The following is a 22,981-nucleotide window of genomic DNA, read 5'->3' as shown; positions in this document are numbered from 1 at the left end:
AGAACATTTTATTTATTTATTTATTTAGAGATGGAGTCTTGTTCTGTCACCCAGGGTGGAGTGCAGTGGCACAATCTTGGCTCTCTACAACCTCCGTTTCCCAGTTCAAGTGATTCTCCTGCCTCAGCCCCCCGAGTAGCTGGGATTACAGGTGCCCGCAGCCACAACCAGCTAATTTTTGTATTTTTAGTAGAGACGGGGTTTCACCATGTTGGTCAGGCTGGTCTTGAACTCCTGACCTCAAGTGATCTGCCCGCCTCAGCCTCCCAAAGTGCCAGAATTACAGGCGTGAGCCACCACACCCCGCCAGAACATTTTATTTTTAATGGTGGTTAGTCGGGCCAGGCATGGTAGCTCACGCCTATAATCCCAGCACTTTGAGAAGCCGAGGCAGATGGATCACTTGAGCCCAGGCATTTGAAATCAGCCTGGGCAACATGGCAAAATTTCATCTCTACAAAAAATACAGTAATTAGCCAGGCATGGTGTCAGCTACCCAGGAGGCTGAGGTGGGAGGATTACTTGAGCCCAGGAGGTCAAGGCTGTGGTGAGCCATGATCTTGCCACTGCACTCCAGCCTGAGTGCACTCCAGACAGAGCAAAACTCTTGTCTCAAAAAATAAGAAACAAAAAAAATAATAATGGTGGCGAGTTGGATTTTCCACGGGTTGTGTAGTTTTCCTATCTGTGGCCTATTATTTTTTAGTTTTTGAGACAGAGTTTCACTCTTGTCACCCAGGCTGGAGTGCAATGGCACGATCTCGGCTCACTGCAACCTCTGTCTCCCAGGTTCAAGCGATTCTCCTGCCTCAGCCTCCCGAGTAGCTGGGATTACAGTCGCGTGCCACCACGCCTGGCTAATTTTTGTATTTTTAGTAGAGATGGGGTTTCACCATGTTGGCCAGGCTGGTCTTGAACTCCTGACTGCAGGTGATCCACCCACCTCAGCCTCCCAAAGTGTTAGGATTACAGGTGTGACCCACCGTGCCCAGCCCTTATCTGTGGCCTATTAAATAAACTCTGCAGCTGCTCATTTACATCTCTGGCTGCTCACCGCCGACACTTCTCCTTTCCTGCTACAGGTCTTCCCTGCTCCCCACACTCCAGCTTCACCGCCCCGTCTCACCCCCAGTACAGCCTCCTCTCCAGCCCAGTGCCTCAGTCATGCACTTTCCCCCGCCTGGTTTGCCCTTCCCAAGCCTCTTCTGCCCATTGCAGTTGTACCCGTCGAGATACTCTCAGCTGCCACCTCTTCTACCAAACTTAACCCTGTTCCATAACGTCAGGCCAGGCTGCTTTTCCTCTGTTTCTCTGCTGTGGCACCTGTTACATCCCGTTTGGTGTGCTGGTTGCATACGTACCTGACTCCCTCGGGATAGGCCTGCTGAGAGTGGAGATATTGCCTCAGCTGCATAGCCCCCTACCCCTAACACCTTTCAAAGTAGAAGAACAACAGGTGTCACTCTATGGAGCCAAGTGTGGGGGGTGTTTCATGATCATCCTCACCAACCTGTGAGGTAGATATTGTTATCCCCACTGTACATATGAAGAACCTTAGGTGCAGAGAGGTTAGGTAAGTTGCCCAAGATCACACAGCTAGTAAATGGCAGCTGGAATCCAAACTAGGTTCCTCTAGGCTGGGCACAGTGGCACACGCCTGTACTCCCAGCTACAAGGGAGGCTGATGTGGGAGGATTGCTTGAGGCCAGGAGTTTAAGACCAACCCTGGCAACATAGCAAGACCCTATCTCAAAAAACAAACAAACAAACTAGGTTTATCCAACTGCAAAGCCTGGACTCTAACCACTATGTTACATATAACAGGGACTTAACAAAGTGCAGAGTGTCATTGTTGAATAAGGGTGCCATACCTCACCACACAAATTTGGCTTACCCATAAGTAACATTTAAATTAGACTCATAGAATTTTAAAACCCCACTGATAGGTCCCAGCTGGCTTCCTGCTAATAGATTTAGCTGTCTGAATAAGGACCACATCCTCCTGAGAACCTAGCCTAGTTTCTGTTTCTAGTATGCTATCTGAGTGTTCAGCATTCATTGTATAGGTATTTTTCTCTTGGTTGGTGAGGTCTCTCATCATTTTGCAGAGAACTGGCTTTGAAATCTTGCAGTGAAGACTAGTGGGATACGGGCCAGGCACAGTGGCTCATGCCTGTAATCCCAGCACTTTAGGAGGCCGAGGCAGGTGGATCACTTGAGGTCAGGAGTTCGAGACCACCCTGGCCAACATGGCGGAACCCCATCTCTACTAAAAATACAAAAATTAGCGGGGTGTGGTGGCGGGCGCCCGTAATCCCAGCTATTCTGGAGGCTGAGGCACAAGAATCGCTTGAACCCAGGAGGCGGAGGTTGCAGTGAGCCGAGATTGCGCCACTGCGCTCCAGCCTGGGTGACAGAGCAAGACTCTGTCTCAAAAAAAAAGACTACTGGGATACCATTTTCAAATAGGGCTAGGCAAACTGGGAGAAACAAACAGAAAGGAGGTAATTCTAGTCTTGGAATTTATGAGTTTCTCTATCTAAAAGTTTACTTTCCAATTTTCTTTTTATCTACAGATTTATCTTGAGTTTTAATAGGTTGTTCTTTGTCCCAGAAATTTAATACACCTTCTTCCTTCTACTAAGAAAGATAATTGTACACCTTGCCCTCACTCTTTAATTCTTAGCATAAGCTTTGTCTTCTATATAATTTAGTGTAACTTGAATAGGGACAGAATCATGAAGATTGAGAACCCTAACTTTCTGCCATTGGCAACACCGTGATCACAAATCATCCAGCAGTCCTAGAATAGCTGCTTCCTGTCTTACCGCAGCTTGCCTCACCAGCCATCACAGTGAGTGACAGGTTATGCATGAGCCCTGAGGTTTCTGACATGATATGGAAACAAACAGGTGTCACCCCTCTGCAGAGAGACCCCATGGCAGACTTTCTGGTGGCCTCATCCTTCCAACAGACACATAATAGGTAAATGTGTGTTAGCGGTGGTGAGAGACTTCATAAAACTCTTTAGCCCCTCTCTCCAGTGTCTAGAAGCCAAGTTCATCTTTAAAAGACTCCACTTTCATGCTGACCAAGGGTGTTGAAAAAAATAGAAAATAAGAATAAATAAAAGACTCCGCAGCACTTAAGCTTGCAGGTGGGCGCCTCTGCTAAGCAGGGAAGGTGTCCAGGCACATTCATTGCCTGCTTCCTTGCTCACGGCCATTGGGTTGCCTCTCTCCTTCACCCTCATTCTCCATTCTCTGAGCACTTCCATTGCCAGTCCTAACTCCCAATAGTCTTAACTCTTGTCGTGTGAGGCGGTTATTTCCAACTCTCACAGCAGGACAGACAGTGCAGCATCAGATAGCCCCATCACCTCTCCCTCGTTTCACGTCCACTTTGATGAGACAGCTGCATCTTCCTAGCATGGTCACCACCAGCACCAGCTCAAAATAGTTATGTGGGGTTTTTAACTTTTTCTTGAAGAGAAAAATGGACAAAGGCTGTTCTCTACATATCCCAGTTCTCTATACATTCACGGTTGCCTAAATTTCAGACTTGCAGCAACTCTCTCCCATCATTGTTTTTTGTTTCTCTGAGAGGGCCTCTGAAAATCGGCAGCAAAGAGACCACTTTGTTTAATTTAAATACACGGCAGCAAAATGAAGGTAATTGTCCACACAGGCCATCTGCTACCTGGCAGGTGTCCATGAGTCAGGGAGATAGAAATGGAGACTAAAGTGTCTTCCATTCTGTTACCATGATAACAGCTTAGCTCCAAGTTGTAGTTGCGTGTGCGTGTGGAGGGGGATGCAGTTATGAATGCTCTGCAGAGGGCATTAACTCTTAAAGTCAGGCCTTTTGCCACAAGTCTCTCTGGCCTTGTTTACCTGACTATAATGTGTGCCAGGAGGATTAAAAATTCTTCCCTATTCCATGAGGAAAAAGAAAGAAGGGAAGTCCTATTTTTGGAGCCCCTACTAAGTGCCAGGCATCATGCTGGGGCCACCCAAGCATGGCCAAGAACAGTGCAGTATCATTTTCCTACTAAAGACACTGCCTTTCTCTCCGTGCAGCTGGTCTCCTGGCCAGTTCTCTCTGCCACAGCATGTGCGTCCCTGCCTCTGTGCTCAGATGCAGAGCTGGTGAAGGATCCCCGTGTCCTCAGGGCACCTTCTCTGGCATTTTCTATACCTGTTTTGGCTCCAACAAGAGATTGTTTTTATACATAAGAGATTTTCATAATCCCTGTATTCTCCTTTCTCACATTTCCTTACTGGGAATGAAATTGACTGTCCCCTGGAAAATCACGGTTAGTGTCAGTCATCAGAAGTCTTGACTGATCCATGTTCCTTTTAGTCTCAGAAACATTGTGCTGTGATCCCAATATGCTTAGTTTTCCGCCAGCAGTTTGAGGCAATTAGCAGACCCAGGGACCAGTCCTAGCCTGTCTACTGATTTTGTGTGTGACCTTGTGACCTCTCTTGACCTCAGCCTCCTCAAATGAAAAATGAATGTTGGACTAAAACAAGCTAGTTTGCTGGGGTCATGAACCCTCTGATTTTGTAATTTCTGAACACTTTTCTTGGAACATGATGCAGAGCTTTCTCGGGTTCTCAGGGTCTTTGCTGATTTGAAAATGAAGAGCCAGCAGTCTAGAGAGCTTATCAGATTGTAATGTTTCACTGGCTCTACATTTGCAACAGAATTGTTTCCAACTGTTATACAAGGGACCTCTGTATTGAGAGAACCTGAGTCACAGGGCATTTATTGTGTTTAGTTATTGGTTAGACCCATGATTGGCCTGTGCTGGACTCAAGCCTTTGTTACAGCTTGTACTACAACAAGATTCCACTCCTTATATCAGGAAACCTTAAAACACTGAGTAGCACATTGCAGAGCTTCCCTTGCTTCTCCAGGCGAATTGCCCTCTCCTGGCAGCTGAAACCCAGAGGCACAAGAGTCTTTTGTGCCTATCATTGGACAACATATCCCCATCCTTGGAGCCACCTGACTAGTTGCTCTACCTTTGCAGATTTCTAGGTGTTTCTCAGGTTTCCTGTAATCTCAGGGTGCCAACTGTGATGCCTCCCCCTCCCCAAGTCTCCCACTGTGCCGCGTATTCTAGACTGGTTCGCGTTGAGCGGAGTGTTCAGCAGTCTCCATGGAGAAGGGCCTGCCTCTCTGAACATAAAGCCCATCTGTGCTTTTGAGACGAGGTGCATTTGCACAGTGCGGTGCTCCATCTTGATTTTTAGTGTGTTCTGTCTGGCCTGTGCCTATCAAGTAAACAGAAGGAACAAACTCCAGCCAGATTCAGAGGTGATTGTCAGCATGTCAGGAATGTTGCTGTGCACAGAAGGTTTCTCAGACTGCATGTGCGCCACACACTCCAGTTTGTACTTATTTAGTTAGAAGGACCTTATTTCAGACTCTTTCCTGAGATAGTTCCATCTTATACAGAGTATCCTGCTCCCTACACCTCCTCATCAGCATCATCTGTACAAGGCCTACGTGGCCAGCAGCTGTGGTACGGACTCCACTTGTGAGAAAGGAAAGTTAGAAGCAGAATATGCCATGACGTGACCGAGATGCTGCTGGGACCCCAGAAGAGCATTCCTCACTGACAGAATGGTCAGAACTGAAGCAAAGTGTTGGTTCTTGCCATGTCTGAGACGAGGTTAACTTAGCGAAGATCATAGGTCACAGAATTTTATATCTGAAAAATACAGTTTTTATCCCAGACAAGTGATATCCCACTTGTCTGATTCATTAGCAGCGAGTCACTAGGCCTAGCCCACATTGAAGGGGAGGAGACTCCACCCGGATATGAATGCAGGGGAGGGTCCCTTGGGGCCATCTCAGAGGTCTGGTGACCACATTTGCTTATCTAGTTAAAGTATCTCACATAAAGATTCACTGGTTGGCTGGGCCCAGCACTCCTGTAATCACAGCACTTTGGGAGGCTGAGGTGGGCAGATCACATGAGAACAGGAGTTCAAGACCAGCCTGGCCAACATGGCAAAACTCCATCTCTACTAAAAATACAAAAATTAGCCAGATGTGGTGGTGCATGTCTGTAATCCCAGCTACTCAGGAAGCTGAGGCACGAGAATCACTTGAACCCAGGAGGTGGAGGTTGCAGTGAGCCAAGATCACACCACTGTGCTCTAGCCTGGGAAACAGCAAGATCCTGTCTAAAAAAAAAAAAAAGGTCAGGGGCGATGGCTCACGCCTGTAATCCCAGCACTTTGGGAAGCCAAGCGAGGCAGGTGGATCATGAGGCCAAGAGATTGAGACTATCCTGGCCAACATGGTGAAACCCCATCTCTACTAAAAATACAAAAATTAGCTGGGCATGGTGGTGCACGCCTGTAGTCCCAGCTACTCAGGAGGCTGAGGCAGGAGAATCATTTGAACCCAGGAGGCAGAGGTTGCAGTGAGCCGAGATCGCGCCACTGCACTCCAGCCTGGTGACAGAGAGATTCCGTCTCAAAAAAGAAAAGATTCACTGACGACTGATAGATGTATTACTTCCTGGAGATTACTACCTGCTCCAGCACTTTTCCTGCTCTTTTCCACTTTTCATTACAGAAGAAAAAGGGCCAAAAATGTGATGCACTTCATTGTCATTTAACAAGTATTTATTAAGAATTTACCTGTGCTGAGCACAGGGATTCAGAGGATGGAATTTAAGAAGTGAGATAGTGCTGTGATGGAGACACACAAGATTCCGTGGGAGTATCTCAGAAAGACATTGTCTCATCCTAGAGGAGATAGTAGTGAGACTGATGCCCAGGGGACCAGCAGGAGCCAATCAGACAGCATGGGGGAGAGTAGTGCTCCCAGCAGAGGGAGTGGCAAGAGAGAGCAGAGTCCCATCAACAGAGTCAAGTGTGGATGGGCCCACACTTTTGCTTTTTTGTCAAAACCACCAAGGAACAGAGTTGGTTGACATCCCTTGCGTGATGTATATCTCATCCAAGATCGGCTCCGGTCTCCAGGCTTCCTGAACCCTTAGCCTCAGGCCTGGCGAAAGCCCATGCATATTGGTGAGCTATCACTTGTGCCTCTGACCCACCCAGGATTGCAAACTGGTATTACCCTACACAAACCAGAATTCACGGAGGGCCCTGACAGCTCTGTCCTGGCTTCATTTTCATCCAGTGTGATCCTAACGCCAAGGGCTGGGGCATAAGACCCATGGAGAAATAACACCTGCCCAGGAGTCGTAGCTTTTCTCTTTCAACTGCTCTGAACAAACACAACTTCTAGAATCTGGTTTTTATCTTCCTCAGAAGGCATGCCCTAGGTAATGATCCCAGGAAGAGGGTCTGATTATTTCCAGGCTGATGGTGGGCAGGAGGTTTCACTTCCAGATACTAGAGCTTTAGACACATGTGGCTGGCCACCCTGCCTACCCCTCTTGTCTCATCCCCCATCATCATTTCAATATCAAAGTATTTGCAAAGGTTCAGTGTCATGCTGTTATGAAGCAGCCTGGATGTTCACCTGGGTCCTATGACTCTGATGTGCGGTCCTCAGGCCATGGTGCCTGGCCCAGATCATGCAGAGGGAGATTCCTGAGTCCTCGCCATATGTTTAATGCTGGCTGGGCCATCTGTCTTACAGTGAAGTGTGTTAGCATTTCAGAGGTCATTCTTTTTTTTTTTTTTTTTTTTTTTTGAGACAGTCTTGCTCTGTCACCCAGGCTGGAGGGCAGTGGCAGGATTTTGGCTCACTGCAAGCTCCACCTCCTGGGTTCAAGCGATTCTCCTGCGTCAGCCTTCTGAGTAGCTGGGATTATAGGCATGCGCCACCATGCCCAGCTAATTTTTGTATGTTTAGTAGAGACAGGGTTTCGCCATGTTGGCCAGGCTGGTCTCAAACTCCTCACCTTAGGTGATGCACCTACCTCGGCCTCCCAAAGTGCTGGGATTACAGGCATGAGCCACCGGGCCCGGCCCATTTTTGTTCTTTAAGTGGATTTAATTTCCATCTTGAGTTCCTACGCTGTCTGAACTGGTCACTTAATCTAGGCATTTCCAGGCAAACTCGAAACCAGCCCTCAGAGATTCTTATCCTGCTTCCTGTGCCCTGAGATTTGCCTATTCTGGACATTTTATATAAATGGGATCATACGATATGTGGTCTTCTGTGACTGGCTTCTGTGACTGGCTTCTTGCACGTAGCATACTGTTTTCTTTCTTTTTTTTTTTTTTTTTTGAGACAGAGTCTCTTTCTGTCATCCAGGCTGGAGTGCAGTGGCGCTATCTCAGCTCACTGCAGCCTCTGCCTCCCAGATTCAAGCAATTCTTCTCCCTTGGCCTCCTGAATTGATGGACATTTGAATTGTTTTTACTTTTTGGCTATGTCGAATAACGCTGCTATGAACATTTGGGTTCAGATTTTTGTGTGGACATGTTTTCATGTCTCATGGATATATACCTAGGAATGGAATTGCTGCCAGTCTGTCCAAAGCAGCTGCACTATTTTACTTTTTTTTGGGTGGGGGAGGTGGGGGTGTGGGGGTGGTATTTGGTCTTTATTCCGTAGATGGCTTAAAGAAATTCAGTTATCTAAAATCTCAGGACAAATTTATCCCTTTTATCTTATATTCAATTCAGAAATTGTTGAGATTTTCCTAGAATCACAGTCTGCAAATACATGACAGTGAAGGATTGGAAGGTGGTAATAGGAAAAGTAGCTGGGGAGACAAAACAGTGCCCAGACTGAGGTTTTAATGTTAGGAAAAAAGAACATTAATGATACTGCAGAATGGTCACAAGAGCTATCCCTAGCACCAGTCTTTTTTTTTTTTTTTTTTTTTTTAGTTCCTTTTATTAATTTCAATAGGTTTTGGGGGAACATGGCGGGAGGGGCAGATTTGGTTACATGGATAAGTTCTTTAGTGATTTCTGAGGTTTTGGTGCCCCCGTCACCCAAGCAGTGTACACTGTACCCAATGTGTAGTCTTTTATCCCTCACCCCCCTCCCACCCTTTCCCTCAAGTCCCAAAAGTCCAGTGTATCATTCTTTTTTTTTTTCCTCCTGAGACAGTGTCTTGCTCTGTTGCCTAGGCTGGAGTGCAGTGACACAATCTCAGTTCACTGCACCCTCCGCCTCCTGGGTTCAAGGGATTCTCCTGCCTCAGCCTCCCAAGTAGCTGGTATTACAGACATGAACCACCACATCTGGCTAATTTTTGTATTTTTAGTAGAGATGGAGTTTCACCATGTTGGCCAGGCTGGTCTCGAACTCCTGTCCTCAAGTGATCCGCCCATCTTGGCCTCCCAAAGTGCTGGGATTGCAGACCAGTGTATCATTCTTACACCTTTGCATTCTCATAGCTTAGCTCCCACTTATGGATAAGAACAACGATGTTTGGTTTTCCATTCCTGAGTCACTTCACTTAGAATAATGGTCTCCAGTTCCATCCAGGTTGCTGTGAATGCCATTGTTTTGTTCCTTTTTATGACTGAATAGTATTCCATGGTATGCATTTACCACATTTTCTTTATCCACTCGTTGATTGATGGGCATTTGGGCTGGTTCCATATTTTTGCAATTGTGAATTGTCCTAGCACCAGTCTTCAGGAGGGAGGGAGGGAATATTTAATTACAGCTCCTTATATGTAATTCTGGGCTACATTTTTTAACTTGTCTATTAATCCTTTTATAATATTCCATATTATGTAAGAGAAAACTAAGATTCAGTAGGATTAATTTATTTACTCAAAGAAAATGTTGAAATAAGAATGCAAATTCCATCTCTAGTGCTTTCTTCACAACATAAATTTTTATCTAGCTTCCTTGCTCACTGGAAGTACCTTTATCAATTACATGAGAAATACCTACAAATCAGTTGCAATGATTTATTCATGTATTAATTTGTTTAATCATGATTTTGTCACATAGATTTTGAATATTTGCTATTGCTAGAAACTGATGCTGATGTGGTTAGAGAGATGTATGTAAATATTTAAATATACATAAATATATATTTATATTTATATTTATGTATATATTGTGATTTATATATTTATGTACATAAATATACATGTATATTATGTAATTGGTATATTTATGTGTATTTATGTATTTACAAATATGTATACTGTGATTTATATATTTATGTATACATATTATGTGATACATAAACTTTTAAATTTTTTAATTTTTTTATTTCAATAGGTTTTTGGGGAACAGGTAGTATTTGATTACATGAATAAGTTTGTTAGTGGTGATTTCTGAGATTTTGGTGTACCCATCATCCAAGCAGTGTACACTGTACCCCATGTGTAGTCTTTTATCCTTTTCCACACCCCACCCTTTCCCCGAGTCCCCAAAGTCCAATATATCATTCTTAGGCCTTTGTGTCCTCATAGCTAAGCTCCCACATATGAGTGAGAATGTACAATGTTTGGTTTTCCATTCCTGAGTTACTTCACTTAGAAAAATAGTCTCCAATTCCATCCAGGTGGCTGTGAATGCCATTATTTCATTCTTTTTTATAGCTGAGTAGTATTCCATGGTGTATCTATCCCATTTGTTTTACCCACTCATTGATTGATGGGCATTTGGGCTGGTTCCATATTTTTGCAATTGCAAATTGTGCTGCTATAAACATGCGTATGCAAGTATCTTTTTTGTATAATGACTTACTTCCCTGTAGGTAGATACCTAGTAATGGGATTGCTGGATCAAACAGTAGATCTACTTTTAGTTCTTTAAGGAATCACCACACTGTTTTTCATAGTAGTTGTACTAGTTTACATTCCCACCAACAGTGTAAAAGTGTTCCTTTTTCACTGCATTCACACCGACATCTATTATTTTTTGAGCTTTTTATTGCCATTCTTGTAAGAGTAAGGTGGTATTGCATTGTAATTTTGATTTGCATTTCCCTGATAATTAGTAATTTGAGCATTTTTCCATATACTTGTTGGCCATTTGTATACCATCTTTTGAGAATTTTCTATTCATGTCCTTAGCCCACTTTTTTATGGGATTATTTTTTTCTTGCTGATTTGTTTTCTTTGTAGATTCTGAATATTAGTCCTGTGTCAGATGTATAGTTTGTGAAGATTTTCTTCCACTCTGTGGGTTGTTTGTTAACTTTGCTGATTATTTCTTTTGCTGTGCAGAAGCTATTTAGTTTAATTAAGTCCCATCTATTTATCTTTGTTTGTTGCATTTGCTTTTGGGTTCTCGGTCATGGAGTCTTTGCCTAAGCCAATGTCTAGAAGGGTTTTTCCAATGTTATCTTCTAGAATCTTTATGGTTTCAGGTCTTAGATTTAAGTCTTTGATCCAACCTGAGTTGATTTTTGTATAAGGTGAGAGATGAGGATCCAGTTTCATTCTTCTATGTGTCTTGCCAGTTATCTCAGCATCATTTGTTAAGTAGGGTGTCCTTTCCCCATTTTTTGTTTTTGTTTGCTTTGTCAAAGATCAGTTGGGTGTAAGTATTTGGCTTTATTTCTGGGTTCCCTATTGTGTTCCATTGGTGTATGTGCCTATTTTTATACCAGTACCATGCTGTTTTGATGACTGAGGCCTTATAGCATAGTTTGAAGTTGAGTAATGTGATGCCTCCAGATTTATTCTTTTTGCTTAGTCTTGCTGTGGCTATGTGGGCTCTTTTTTGGTTCCATATGAATTTAAGGGTTGTTTTTTCTAGTCCTGTGAGGAATGATGGTGGTATTTTGATGGGAATTGCATTGAATTTGTAGATTGCTTTTGGCAGTATGATTATTTTCACAATATTGACTCTACCCATCCATGAGCATGGGATGTGTTTCCATTTGTTCATGTCATCTATGATTTCTTTCAGCAGTGTTTTATAGTTTTCCTTATAGAGGTCTTTCATATCCTTAGTTAGGTATATTCCTAAGTATTTTATTTTATTTTATTTTATTTTTTGCAGGTATTCTGAAAGGGGTTGAGTTCTTGATTTGATTCTCAGCTTGGTCGCTGTTGATATATAGCAGAGCTACTGATTTGTGTACAATAATTTTGTATCCTGAAACTTTGCTGAATTCATTTACCAGTTCTAGGAGCTTTTTGGATGAGTCTTTAGAATTTTCTAGGTATACAATCATATAATCAGCAAACAGTGACAGTTTGACTTCCTCTTTACCGATTTGGATGCCCTTTCTTTCTTTCTCTTGTCTGATTGCTCTGGCTAGGACTTCCAGTACTATGTTGAATAGAAGTGGTGAAAGTGAGCATCCTTGTCTTGTTCCAGTTCTCAGGGGGAATGCTCTCAACTTTTCCCTGTTCAGTATAATATTGGCTCTGGGTTTGTCATAGATGGCTTTTATTACATTAAGGTATGTCCCTTCTATGCCAGTTTTGCTGAGGGTTTTAGTCATAAAGCGATGCTGGATTTTGTCTAATGCTTTTTCTGCATTTATTGGATCATGTGATTTTTGTTTTTAATTCTGTTTATGTGGTATATCACATTTATTGACTTACGTATGTTAAACCATCCCTGTGTCCCTGGTATGAAACCCACTTGATCATGGTGGATTATCTTTTTGATATGCTGTTGGATTTGGTTCACTAGTATTTTTTTGAGGATTTGTGCATCAGGGATATTGGTCTGTAGCTTTCTTGTTTTGTTATGTCCTTCCCTGGTTTTGGTATTAGGGTTATACTGGCTTCGTAGAATGATTTACGCAGGATTCCCTCTTTTTCTATCTTTTGCAATAGTGTCAGTAGGATTGGTACCAATTCTTCTTTGAATGTCTGATGGAGTTCAGCTGTGAATCCATCTGGTCCTGGACTGTTTTTTGTTGGCAATTTTTTTTATTACCATTTCAATCTCACTGCTTGTTATTGGTCTATTCAGATATTCTGTATCTTCCTGGTTTAATCTAGGAGGATTGTATATTTCCAGGAATTTATCCATTTCCTCTAGGTTTTCTAGTTTATGCATGTAAAGGTGTTCATGGTAACTTTAAATCTTTTGTATTTCTGTGGTATCAGTAGTAGTAGCTCTCGTTTCGTTTCTATTTGAGCTTATTTGGATCTTCTCTCTTCTTTTCTTGGTTAATCTTGCTAATGGTCTATCAATTTTATTTATCTTTTGAAAGAACCAGCTTTTGGTTTCATTCACTCACTCATTCATTCATTCATTCATTCATTTTTGAGATGGAGTCTCACTCTGTTGCCCAGGCTGGTGTACAGTGGTGTGATCTCAGCTCACTGCAGCCTCCACCTCCCGGGTTCAAGAGATTCTCCTGCCTCAGCCTCCCGAGTAGCTGGGATTACAGGTGCGTGCCACCACACCCTGTTAATTTTTGTTTTTTTCAGTGGAGATGGGGTTTCACCATGTTGCCCAGGCTGGTCTCGAACTCCTGACCTCAAGTGATCCACCCACCTTGGCCTCCCAAAGTGCTGGGATTACAGGCGTGAGCCACCGTGCCTGGCCTGTTTCATTTATCTTTTGTATTGTTTTGTGTGTATGTGTTTCAGTTTCATTTAGTTCTGCTCTGATCTTCGTTATTTCTCTTCTGCTGGGTTTGGGCTTGGATTGTTCTTGTTTCTCCAGTTCTGTGAGGTGTGACCTTAGATTGTCTGTGCTCTTTCAGACTTTTTGATGTAGGCATTTAATGCTATGAACTTTCCTCTTAGCATCACTTTTTCCGTATCCCAAAGGTTTTGATAGATTCTGTCACTATTATTCAGTTCAAAGAATTTTTAAATTTCCATCTTGATTTCATTGTTGATCCAACCATCATTCAGGAGCAGATTATTTAATTTCCATGTATTTGCATGGTTTTGAGGGTTCCTTTTGGAGTTGCTTTCCAATTTTATTCTAATGTCGTCTGATAGAGTGCTTGATATGATTTTGGTTTTCTTAAATTTACTGAGACTTGTTTTGTGGCCTATCCTATGGCCATTTTACATTTCTATCAGCAGTATATTAGGGTTCTAATTTCTCCACATCCTTGCCAACACTTGTTATTACCTGTCTTTTTTATTATAGTCATCCTTGTGGGTGTGCGGTGATGTCTCATTGTAGTTTTGATTTGCATTTCCCTAATAATGCTGAGCATCTTTCCATGTACTTACTGGATATTTATATATCTTTGGAGGAATGTCTATTCAGATCCTTTGCCCATTTTAAAATATTATTTGTCCTTTTATTATTGAGTTGTAAGAGTTCTTTATATATTTTATATATAGATCATGTATCATATATAGTTTGCAAACATTTTCTCCCTTTCTGGGGGTTGACTTTCACTTTCTTGATGGTATTCTTCAAAGCACAAAAGTTTTACTTTTGATAATATTCAATGTATCTAGTTTTTCTTTCATAGCTTGGGCTTTTGATGTCATATCTAAAAAGTCATTGCCTAGGCCAGGCGCGGTGGCTCACACCTGTAATCCCAGCACTTTGGGAGGCCGAGGCAGGTGGATCACGAGGTCAGGAGATCGAGACCATCCTGGCTAACATGGTGAAACCCTGTCTCTACGAAAAATACAAAAAATTAGCCGGGAGTGGTGACGGGCACCTGTAGTCCCAGCTAGTCAAGAGGCTGAGGCAGGAGAATGGTGTGAACCCGGGAGGCGGAGCTTGTGGTGAGCCGAGATTGCACCACTGCACTCCAGCCTGGGCAACAGAGCAAGACTCCGTCTCAAAAAAAAAAAAAAAAAAAGTCATTACCTAATCCAAGATTATAAAGCCTTCCCCCTATGTTTTCTCTAAGAATGTTATAATTTCAGCTCCTATGTTTAAGTTATTGACTAATTCTGAATTGATTTGTTCATATGTTTTTTAATGATATCTTTTGAAAAGCAGAAGTTTGGTCGGGCTCAGTGGCTCACACCTGTAATCCTAGCACTTTGGGAGGCCGAGGCGGGTGGATCACCTGAGGTCAGGAGTTTGAAGCCAGCCTGGCCAAGATGGCGAAACCCCATCTCTACTAAAAATATAAGAAAAGCCAGGCATGGTGGCACACACGCACCTGTAATCCCATCTACTTTGGAGGCTGAGGCAGGAGAATTGGTTGAACCCAGGGGACGGAGGTTGCACTGAGCCAAAATCGCACCACTTCACTCCAGCCTGGGTGAAAGAGTGAAACTCCATCTCAAAAAAAAAAAAGAGAAGACGAAAAGAAAAAGAAAAGAAAAAGTTTAAAATTTCAATGAAAGCCAGTTTATCTGTTTGGTTTTGTTTTTACATATCATGGTTTGGGTGTTTTCTTAGAGAAATTTTATAGTTTTAGCCCTTATAGTTACTATGATCCATTTTAGTTTTAGCTCTTATAGTTACTATGATCCATTTTGATTTAGTTCATATTTATTTGTATCATGGAAAGATCTCAGAAAGCATGCTAAGTGATTAAAGCAAATTGCAAAGTGATATGAGCAGTACAATACCATTCATGCAAAATTTAAAAGCGTGAAATACCATCTATTATTCATAGCTATACATGCACATATAGGTTAAAAGTTTCACAGCAGAATTTTGATAGGGGTTGCCTCTGAAGGGAGGAGAGGAAAGAACTGGAACAGGAAAGAACTGGTGGACAAAAATATTGCAAATTTTTCTGCAATATTTTTAGGTTGAAATACATTTGACACAATATGAAGTTACCAATTTGGGGTGGTTAATTATGTTGTACTTTTTAGTTTTCTGTATTTTTTTTAACTTCTCAAAATACACATACACACACACACACACACACACACACACACACACACAAATGATTCAAAGTAAGAACCACAGAAAACAATCCATTTCTGTTGAGTTTGGTGGCCACACGGTTGAAGCACTGCGGTGGGGTGTCGTGCGTCCAGCCTGTCCACCTGTTCAGGGCCAATTCTGTTTGTATATGGGGTTTCTAGCTGAGAAAGCTAGAAGAAGGATAACTGTCTTCATTTGAATTCACTCTCACACTTTGGCTTCTATTTTTTCCAGTTTTGCTTCCACAGAAAACCCTAGTCCACCTTCCACACTCAGTTCCCGTTGTGCTGAAGAGCTACAGAGCCCACATCTCAGTGAGCGGCCCTTGATTAGTTTTCTCCTTTTATTTATTTTATCCCATTGCTCCAAACTTTCTCCACAACTATACCAGGGCCTCCCAAGGAAAGCTTGGTTTCTGTTTACCATGTGTCCTTTCTCACCTCGTCCCCGCGGGGTGGCCCCGGACAGCCTTGCTGTACATGTGCAGTGCATGTGGCATGACTGGCCCCATGGCCCCGCTTGCAGCCTGCAGCCGAGCTCCGCACATGCTCAGAGCATGCCCTGCAGGAAGTGGGGTCACAACCTGCAGAGTGCACACTGCCACCCTTGGAGTCAAGGGGTTGTTCCCATGCCTCCCACTGGCAAGCTGTGTGGCCTGACACAACGTCTCTTTCCATTCTTCTTCTTCTATAAAATGGACATAAAAATATATACCCTGGCTTGGTATGGTGGCTCACACCTGTAATCCTAGCACTTTGGGAGGCGAAGGCGAGCAGATTGCATGAGCTCAGGAGTTAAAGACCAACCTGGACAACGTGTTGAAACCCCGTATCTACTAAAAATACAAAAAATTAGCCCAGCGTGGTGGCGCACACCTGTAGTCCCAGCTACTCGGGAGGCTGAAGCAGGAGAATCTCTTGAACCTGGGAGGCGGAGGTTACAGTGAGCTGAGATCGTGCCACTGCACTCCACCTGGGCAACAAAGCAAGACTCTGTCTCCAAAAAAGATATATACGTATATAAATATATACATACACACACACACACACACACACACACGTATGTCCTTTCCACTCACAGGTTGCCGGCAGCAGCGGGGGGAGGGGTCCAAATGAGAACATGTACATGAATGTGTTTGCAAACAAAATGAAAGCTGTTTGCATGTTACTTCCTGCCCTGCAAGCCAAGCCCTTCTAGAGCCCTGGCCCAGTCACGCAGCTCACTCTGTCTCCACCACTCTGTGCCAGCCTCTTCTTTCCCTCCCATTCTTGGTCTTGTTCTTAGGATGTTCTCTCTCTCTGCCCTGCACGCCCCCTTCCTTTTTTCCTTTTCTTCCTCTCTCCAGTCTTGGAAGCAGCCTAACTCCTTCCTTTCAAGTATGATCTTGTACCACTGAACTGAGGCCCACTGGCTGGCTCTGGTTGATGGAGAAAAAGTACTTTCTTCCTTCCTCAAAGAGGTCAGGTACTTGAGATAACGTATTTTCTGTCTTTGAATCTCCAGGCTCAGGCCACAGGGTCACCACATACATCGCCCACCCATGGAGGCGGCCGGCCAATGCCCATGCCAGTGCGCTCCACGTCTGCCGGCTCCACCCCCACCCACTGTCCGCAGGACTCGCTGAGCGGAGTCGGGGGAGACGTGCAGGAGGCCTTCGCACAAGGTGAGTTTCTGGAGCAGAGTTCAGCGGGGAGCTGAAGGGATGTGCAAACACGGACAAGATTCCTGCTGAGGTTTTTTCCATTTCTGTTTTGTGCTCTTTGCTTGGAATGATCAGATTTTGACAGACAGTGTAAATAAGTCAGGTGCTGGCCCCTTCTCATGAGACGGGCTGGTCTCCAGCGGGAGGGCTGCAGGCTTCCTATGTGTGCCAAGAACAGGCCTCCTGGGGTTCTCTGCCCTTTTTTCTGGATTATTGGAAGTGCTTTGTCCTTTGGGCTTTGTCTCCTCCAGAGGAATTGGATGGAATAATTCCCTGGCCTAGAAGGGACTGTAACAGGCACTGTAACTGGGACCGTGCTGAAAGCACAGTATGCACGCCATTGTCACAGTCATCGGGGGAGCTGGTGACCAGCAGTATTAAGTAGTTGGGTGGGGATTCAGAGGGAAGTCCTGCTGGGGCTGGAGGTGAGAAGGGGAGGTGGTAGTGGTGGTTGTGGAGAGTACAGCCCCACCCCCACAAGGCTGAGGAAGACCTCGGTGGAATGCTTATTCTGGAACCCAGCTCTGGATTGTGTGGTGGCGGCAAAGCGTGGAGTTGACAGGATGCTGCTCCCTAGGTAGAGAGGGCAGAGGGAGAGGGACCAGTGGGCTGGTGCCTCCTGCCCCCGGTGTGCCTGGGAATGGGTGGAGCTGCTGTGGCCCCATCTCCCCTTAGGTGTTCCACACCTGTGTTCTCGGGCCTGGCAGAACTGAGGCATTTGCTCAGCCGTCTCTTCTCCACGCTCACCCACCCTGGCATCCCCATCTGCTCTGCCTCTCCTCAGGTACGAGGAGAAACCTCCGCAATGACCTGCTGGTGGCAGCTGACTCCATCACCAACACCATGTCATCCCTGGTGAAGGAGCTCCATTCAGGTGAAACCCAGAGCTCCCAGCCAGCTTCCTGGCCTCCCCTGCCTTGCCCGCGCCCTTCTCACTTCCTTGCCAGCACCGGCAGAACCTCACCACCCAGCTTGCACCACCCCATTTCATCACCTAACTTTGCCTTCTAGGAACACACTGGATGTCTCCACCCAGAGAGCCTCTGTCACACAGGATCGCGTAGGGGCGGTTTCACATTCAGGCCTATCTCAGGAGTGCATCTTGTGGAGCAAGCTGAATGTAGAGAAATTCAGACCTTTCAGTGCAGGCAGGCCCCTTCCTCACTTACCTCGTCTTCCATCTGTACTTTGTCCACAGCCGCTCTCTCCCTAGGCCTGACCGACCACCTCATTCTGAAACTTCCCTGGAGGTCTGGAGCGGAATCAGCCAGGAAAGCTCTGGACCTTCCCCTGCTGCCTTTCTGCTCTCTCCTGTTTGATTTGTTTTTGAAACCTATTCCCTCCTTTTGTCCGTGACCAGGCTCTGATTTCACCTGAAGTTCATGACCTGAGTCTGTCGCCTCTTCTGCTCCTTGTGTTCAGCTCATCTGTGACTTCTTTCTCAGTCTCTCCATCACCTCACCAATTCAGTGACTTCCCAAAGACCTTTACCTCGTGGCATTTCACCTTACATAAAACCCAGGAAAGAGAGAGAAAATAAAAGGCCATTCACGTATCCTCCTATCTCCAGGAATCCCCATGACTCTACCAGTTACGTAGGGGCCAGAGAGTCACTAACGATTTCACAGCGGTGGGGTCTCCATGTTTTGTGTTAAACTAATGGTTTCCCTCCCTAAGCGCTGTAGGTCACTCACACTGATGGCTCTCTTTTGTTTCTTTCCACCTAATGTAGTGCTTTTAAATACCTTGAAGTAGCTTAACAGGATTATTAAATAAAAAGATAAAGCAGTTTTTCCACGGACGATTCAAACACATACACTTATTCAAACACTCTTAGGGAAGGCAAGCCTTGGGTATTTTTCAGCCCTTCGTAGGAGAAAGCTCACATGTTTAGGGTTGTCATGGGACTGGACAGAGCCCCCAGCTCTGCTCTCAAGTCTGCCTGTTTTCATACAGACCAAAGTGAGTGTATAGCCCAGCTTCGTCTTTCCAGTCAGTTAAGGTCAGACGCTGCCTCTCTTGTTTGATGGTGCCACCCTCTCCATTCTAGCACTGTTTCTCAACCCCCATCAGAAGCACGGCCCCGCTCTGTACACATAAACAGAAGAGGCGACAGCCTTCAGGATGACCTCACAGGTGATTAGAAGGCGCTTTCCCTAATGCAGCTCCCCACAGATGTCAGAAATCCCACTTTTAGAGGAAATTTCTCAGGGAATTTCGGGCCATGGGAATTAACTACACTTGTACTTCATGGCCACTTATTAGAGTTTATGCAAAATAAGTGGCTTCTGCGTTCATCGTGCTAGGGTGAGAGGTCATTAAATACCATTAAGTGGAAAGCACATAGAGACCAAATAGCTTCACAAAAATGTAAAGCTTATAGGAATCCTCAGCAGTGTCTCATAGTAAGAAAGGATGGTTTCAACAAAATTATGTAGTGTAATTTGGAAGGTGCCTTAGAGAGCACATTGTCCAGTCCCTTACTTTAGAGATGTAGCCTGTGCTTATCAGAAAAGTGGTCTGCCTAAGGTCGTGCAGCTTGAAGGGGGAAAGCTGGTCCTAGAACCTGGGTCTTCAGAGCATCAAGCCAGAGATCTTACTCCCCTCCAGGACAAGATAGCAAACCCAGAGTCCCAGAGGCCCCTTTCCCTGATGCTGTCCTCTCAGTCACTGAAGCCTGTAGGTAGACGTGGACCAAAGCCACACATGGCACGGTATCCCTCTAACATGCAGACATAAACTCCCTTTACATGTGAGGGTGCCAATTTCTCAGTGAATGGAATAGCTTCACCCATCACCAACATGTTTTTACTGTCTCCTTGACAGTGACTTGACAGGTTTTTGTTCCAATGAGAGGACATACTCAGATTATCTTTACATATATTCTATACAGTGTATACATACTGTATATACATAGCTTGTAGTCCTCATCTTTATAAAGTTTTTTCACAGATAATCGAATCCTAGAATTGGAAAGGATCGAGGCCACAGGCACAGTGGCTCACACCTGTAATCCCAGCACTTTGGGAGGCTGAGGCAGGTGGATCACCTAAGGTCAGGAGTTTAAGACCAGCCTGACCAACATGATGAAACCCCGTCTCTACTAAAAATACAAAATTAGCCTGGCATGGTGGTGCATGTCTGTAATCCCAGCTACTCGGGAGGCTGAGGCAGGAGAATCGCTTGAACCTGGGATGCAGAGATTGCAGTGAGCCAAGATCGCGCCGCTGTAGTCCAGCCTGGGCAATGAGCAAAACTCCATCTCAAAAAAAAAAAAAGAAAAGAAAAGAAAAAAATTGTAAAGGATGTTAGAAGTCATTTAATCCAACTCGCCACCCAATAAAACAGTCCTCTGAATATTTCCAGCGAGCTCATTCATGATCAACTCTAATCACTGGAAACTTCTTCCTCAGTGGGGAGCCAAAATCTCACTTTCTGTAACTGATTTATCCCTGTCCTCTCAAGCTACCCAGGATAAGCTCAGTCCCTCCTCTGCAGGCTCGCCTTTCACGGGTTGGATGGCAAATGACAACCCTTCCTAGTTTTCTCCTCTGTAGACTGCTACACCCAATTCCTTCAACCTTTCCAAACGTGACATGGTTTTCTCTTACCAGCCTGCTTGACCATACCAGGATGTGGCCATTTTCCAAGGCTCCTATTCAAAGTACATGCCCAGGGCCCAGCACCCTGCTCTCCATCACAGGGGATCTTGTCCCTGCAGAGCACAAGGCATCTGTGACCCTCTTGAGTGTCCCCTGGAAAAGCACCTTAGACGGCATTAGCACTTCCCACATAGCCACTTTGCACTGTGCGGTCATTTTAAGTTTATCATCAGCTAAAACATACGGAATTTTTTTTTTTTAACAGAACCCCGTGTTAATCTAGGTATTCCCCCACCATATATTGTATGGTCACTTTCTTAAACCTGAATGCAAGACATTAGATGTCTCCCTGGTCATCACCACCTGAGGGCAGACAGGCATAGAACAGAGGCACGCAACCCCACACTGCACGCCCCCAGCCCTGGTCAGGAAAGTGAGCGATGTGACCGCACTGCTCCCTTTGGGCTGTGGTCTTACGGGCTCCTATTCAGCAGTGCTGGGGCGTGGGCCGCACAAGTGCAGACTGGTGAGCTGAAGCACCCTCAGAGGCCTGCAGCCAGGAGCTGTTAGCTAGAGTTTCCTCCCAAGCCTCAGCAGTTGCTTTGTTCACCCTCCTTCTGTACTTGTCCTGTGCCGAAGGGTCACTGGCCTCCTTGGACTTGTTTTCACAGCAGAGGAAGGTGCAGAGGAAGAAGAAGAGAAGATGCAGAATGGGAAAGACAGAGGTAAAGGCAGCTCAGCAGGACTGCTCGTTTAAATGGGGAGCCCGAGCTCATGGATCAGCCGCCCCCCACTTTGTTTCTGCATTCCTCCCTGCCACCACCTTTCCCAGAGCTTTCGGACCCGAGGTCCCTGTACCTACTTTTCCCATCTGACAGTCAGGTTTTACCTTCCAGGTGACAAGGTCAGTCGATCACCAAGAGCTTCCTCATTTCCTGATCCTGGGATAGGTAGTTGGGATACAGGAAGTAGATACAAGTAGAACACAAAAGATGACCCTTTGACTGGAGAAGTTTATGATCTAGTTAATAAAGCAAGACCAGGCCAGGTGCGGTGGCTCACGCCTGTAATCCCAGCACTTTGGGAGGCTGAGGCGGGTGGATCACAAGGTCAGGAGTTCAAGACCAGCAGGCTGGCCAACATAGTGAAACCTCATCTCTACTAAAAATACAAAAAATTAGCCAGGTGTGGTGGCAGGCGCCTGTAGTCCCAGCTACTTGGGGAGAATGAGGCAGGAGAATCACTTGAACCTGGGAGGCAGAGATTGCAGTGAGCCGAGATCACACCACTGCACTCCGTCCTGGGCAACAAGAGTGAAACTCCATCTCCAAAAAAAAAAAAAAAAAAGACCAAAAATGCAAAATAAATAGATCAAATGAAGTGGCAGAAAAAGCTAATCATAAAACTTTCAGCATATAAGTATAATAAGGGTTTCTGAAAAGGAAGAGATTGTTGTGGACTAGAATAGCCAAATGGTTTTGTGGCTTCATGGAAGAATAAAACCAAGAAGGGAAGGTGTCAGCAAAGGACAGTAGTGCCTTCCTAGTTTCATTATATATCGAACCTGCTTAACACATGACATCTGGGAAGAGCTGCAGGGAATGATTTTCACGTATGATGATCTCATCTAATCCTTAACACTGTGAGACAGATTCGAATATCCCCATTTTACCCATGAGGAAATAGGCTCAGAGAGATGTTGTTCATGTAGCTGTTAAACGGCAGAGATTTAGGCCAGACGTGGTGGCTCACACCTGTAATCCCAGCACTTTGGAAGGCCGAGGCGGGCGGATCACTTGAGGCCAGGAATTCGAGAGCAGCCTGGCCAACATGGTGAAACCCTGTCTCTACTAAAAATACAAAAATAAGCCAGGTGTGGTGGTGCATGCCTGTAATCGCAGCTACTCGGGAGGCTGAAGCAGGAGAATCCCTTGAACTCAGGAGGCAGAGGTTGCAGTGAGCCAAGATCACGCAA

The 22,981-nt window shown here is 44.9% G+C and overlaps 1 protein-coding gene across 29 annotated transcripts in view, besides 3 other annotated features; it reads left to right on the top strand.

Moving 5' to 3' along the window:
- DTNB (dystrobrevin beta) overlaps positions 1-22,981 on the top strand; it is a 296,335-nt gene that overhangs the window by 268,011 nt on the left and 5,343 nt on the right. For 10 of the 29 annotated variants that reach the window (NM_001351392.2, NM_001394686.1, NM_001320932.2 and 7 more), the window contains 2 exons: positions 17,206-17,365; positions 18,189-18,278. The exons of 1 other annotated variant lie outside the window; for it this stretch is intronic. In NM_001351392.2, coding sequence (NP_001338321.1) covers positions 17,206-17,365; positions 18,189-18,278 — 250 coding nt within the window. Of the gene's footprint in view, positions 1-17,205; positions 17,366-18,188; positions 18,279-18,415; positions 19,206-19,454; positions 19,541-20,356; positions 20,502-21,677; positions 21,732-22,981 lie in introns of those variants that run through there. 18 more of the 29 variants (NM_001320935.2, NM_001351381.2, NM_001320933.2 and 15 more) reach the window with 6 other exon arrangements.
- Positions 1,618-1,787: an enhancer, noted in NCBI's record as "active region_15454". NCBI's record gives its function as "activates an Ori minimal core promoter by ATAC-STARR-seq in GM12878 lymphoblastoid cells {active_cell/tissue: GM12878}" and the evidence as "EXISTENCE:reporter gene assay evidence [ECO:0000049][PMID:35858748]".
- Positions 3,957-4,006: an enhancer, noted in NCBI's record as "active region_15453". NCBI's record gives its function as "activates an Ori minimal core promoter by ATAC-STARR-seq in GM12878 lymphoblastoid cells {active_cell/tissue: GM12878}" and the evidence as "EXISTENCE:reporter gene assay evidence [ECO:0000049][PMID:35858748]".
- Positions 16,941-17,150: an enhancer, noted in NCBI's record as "active region_15452". NCBI's record gives its function as "activates an Ori minimal core promoter by ATAC-STARR-seq in GM12878 lymphoblastoid cells {active_cell/tissue: GM12878}" and the evidence as "EXISTENCE:reporter gene assay evidence [ECO:0000049][PMID:35858748]".

Source organism: Homo sapiens, chromosome 2 (genome assembly GCF_000001405.40).
Source record: "Homo sapiens chromosome 2, GRCh38.p14 Primary Assembly".
NCBI lineage: Eukaryota > Metazoa > Chordata > Mammalia > Primates > Hominidae > Homo > Homo sapiens.
This window is presented reverse-complemented; position numbering and strand designations above follow the sequence as displayed.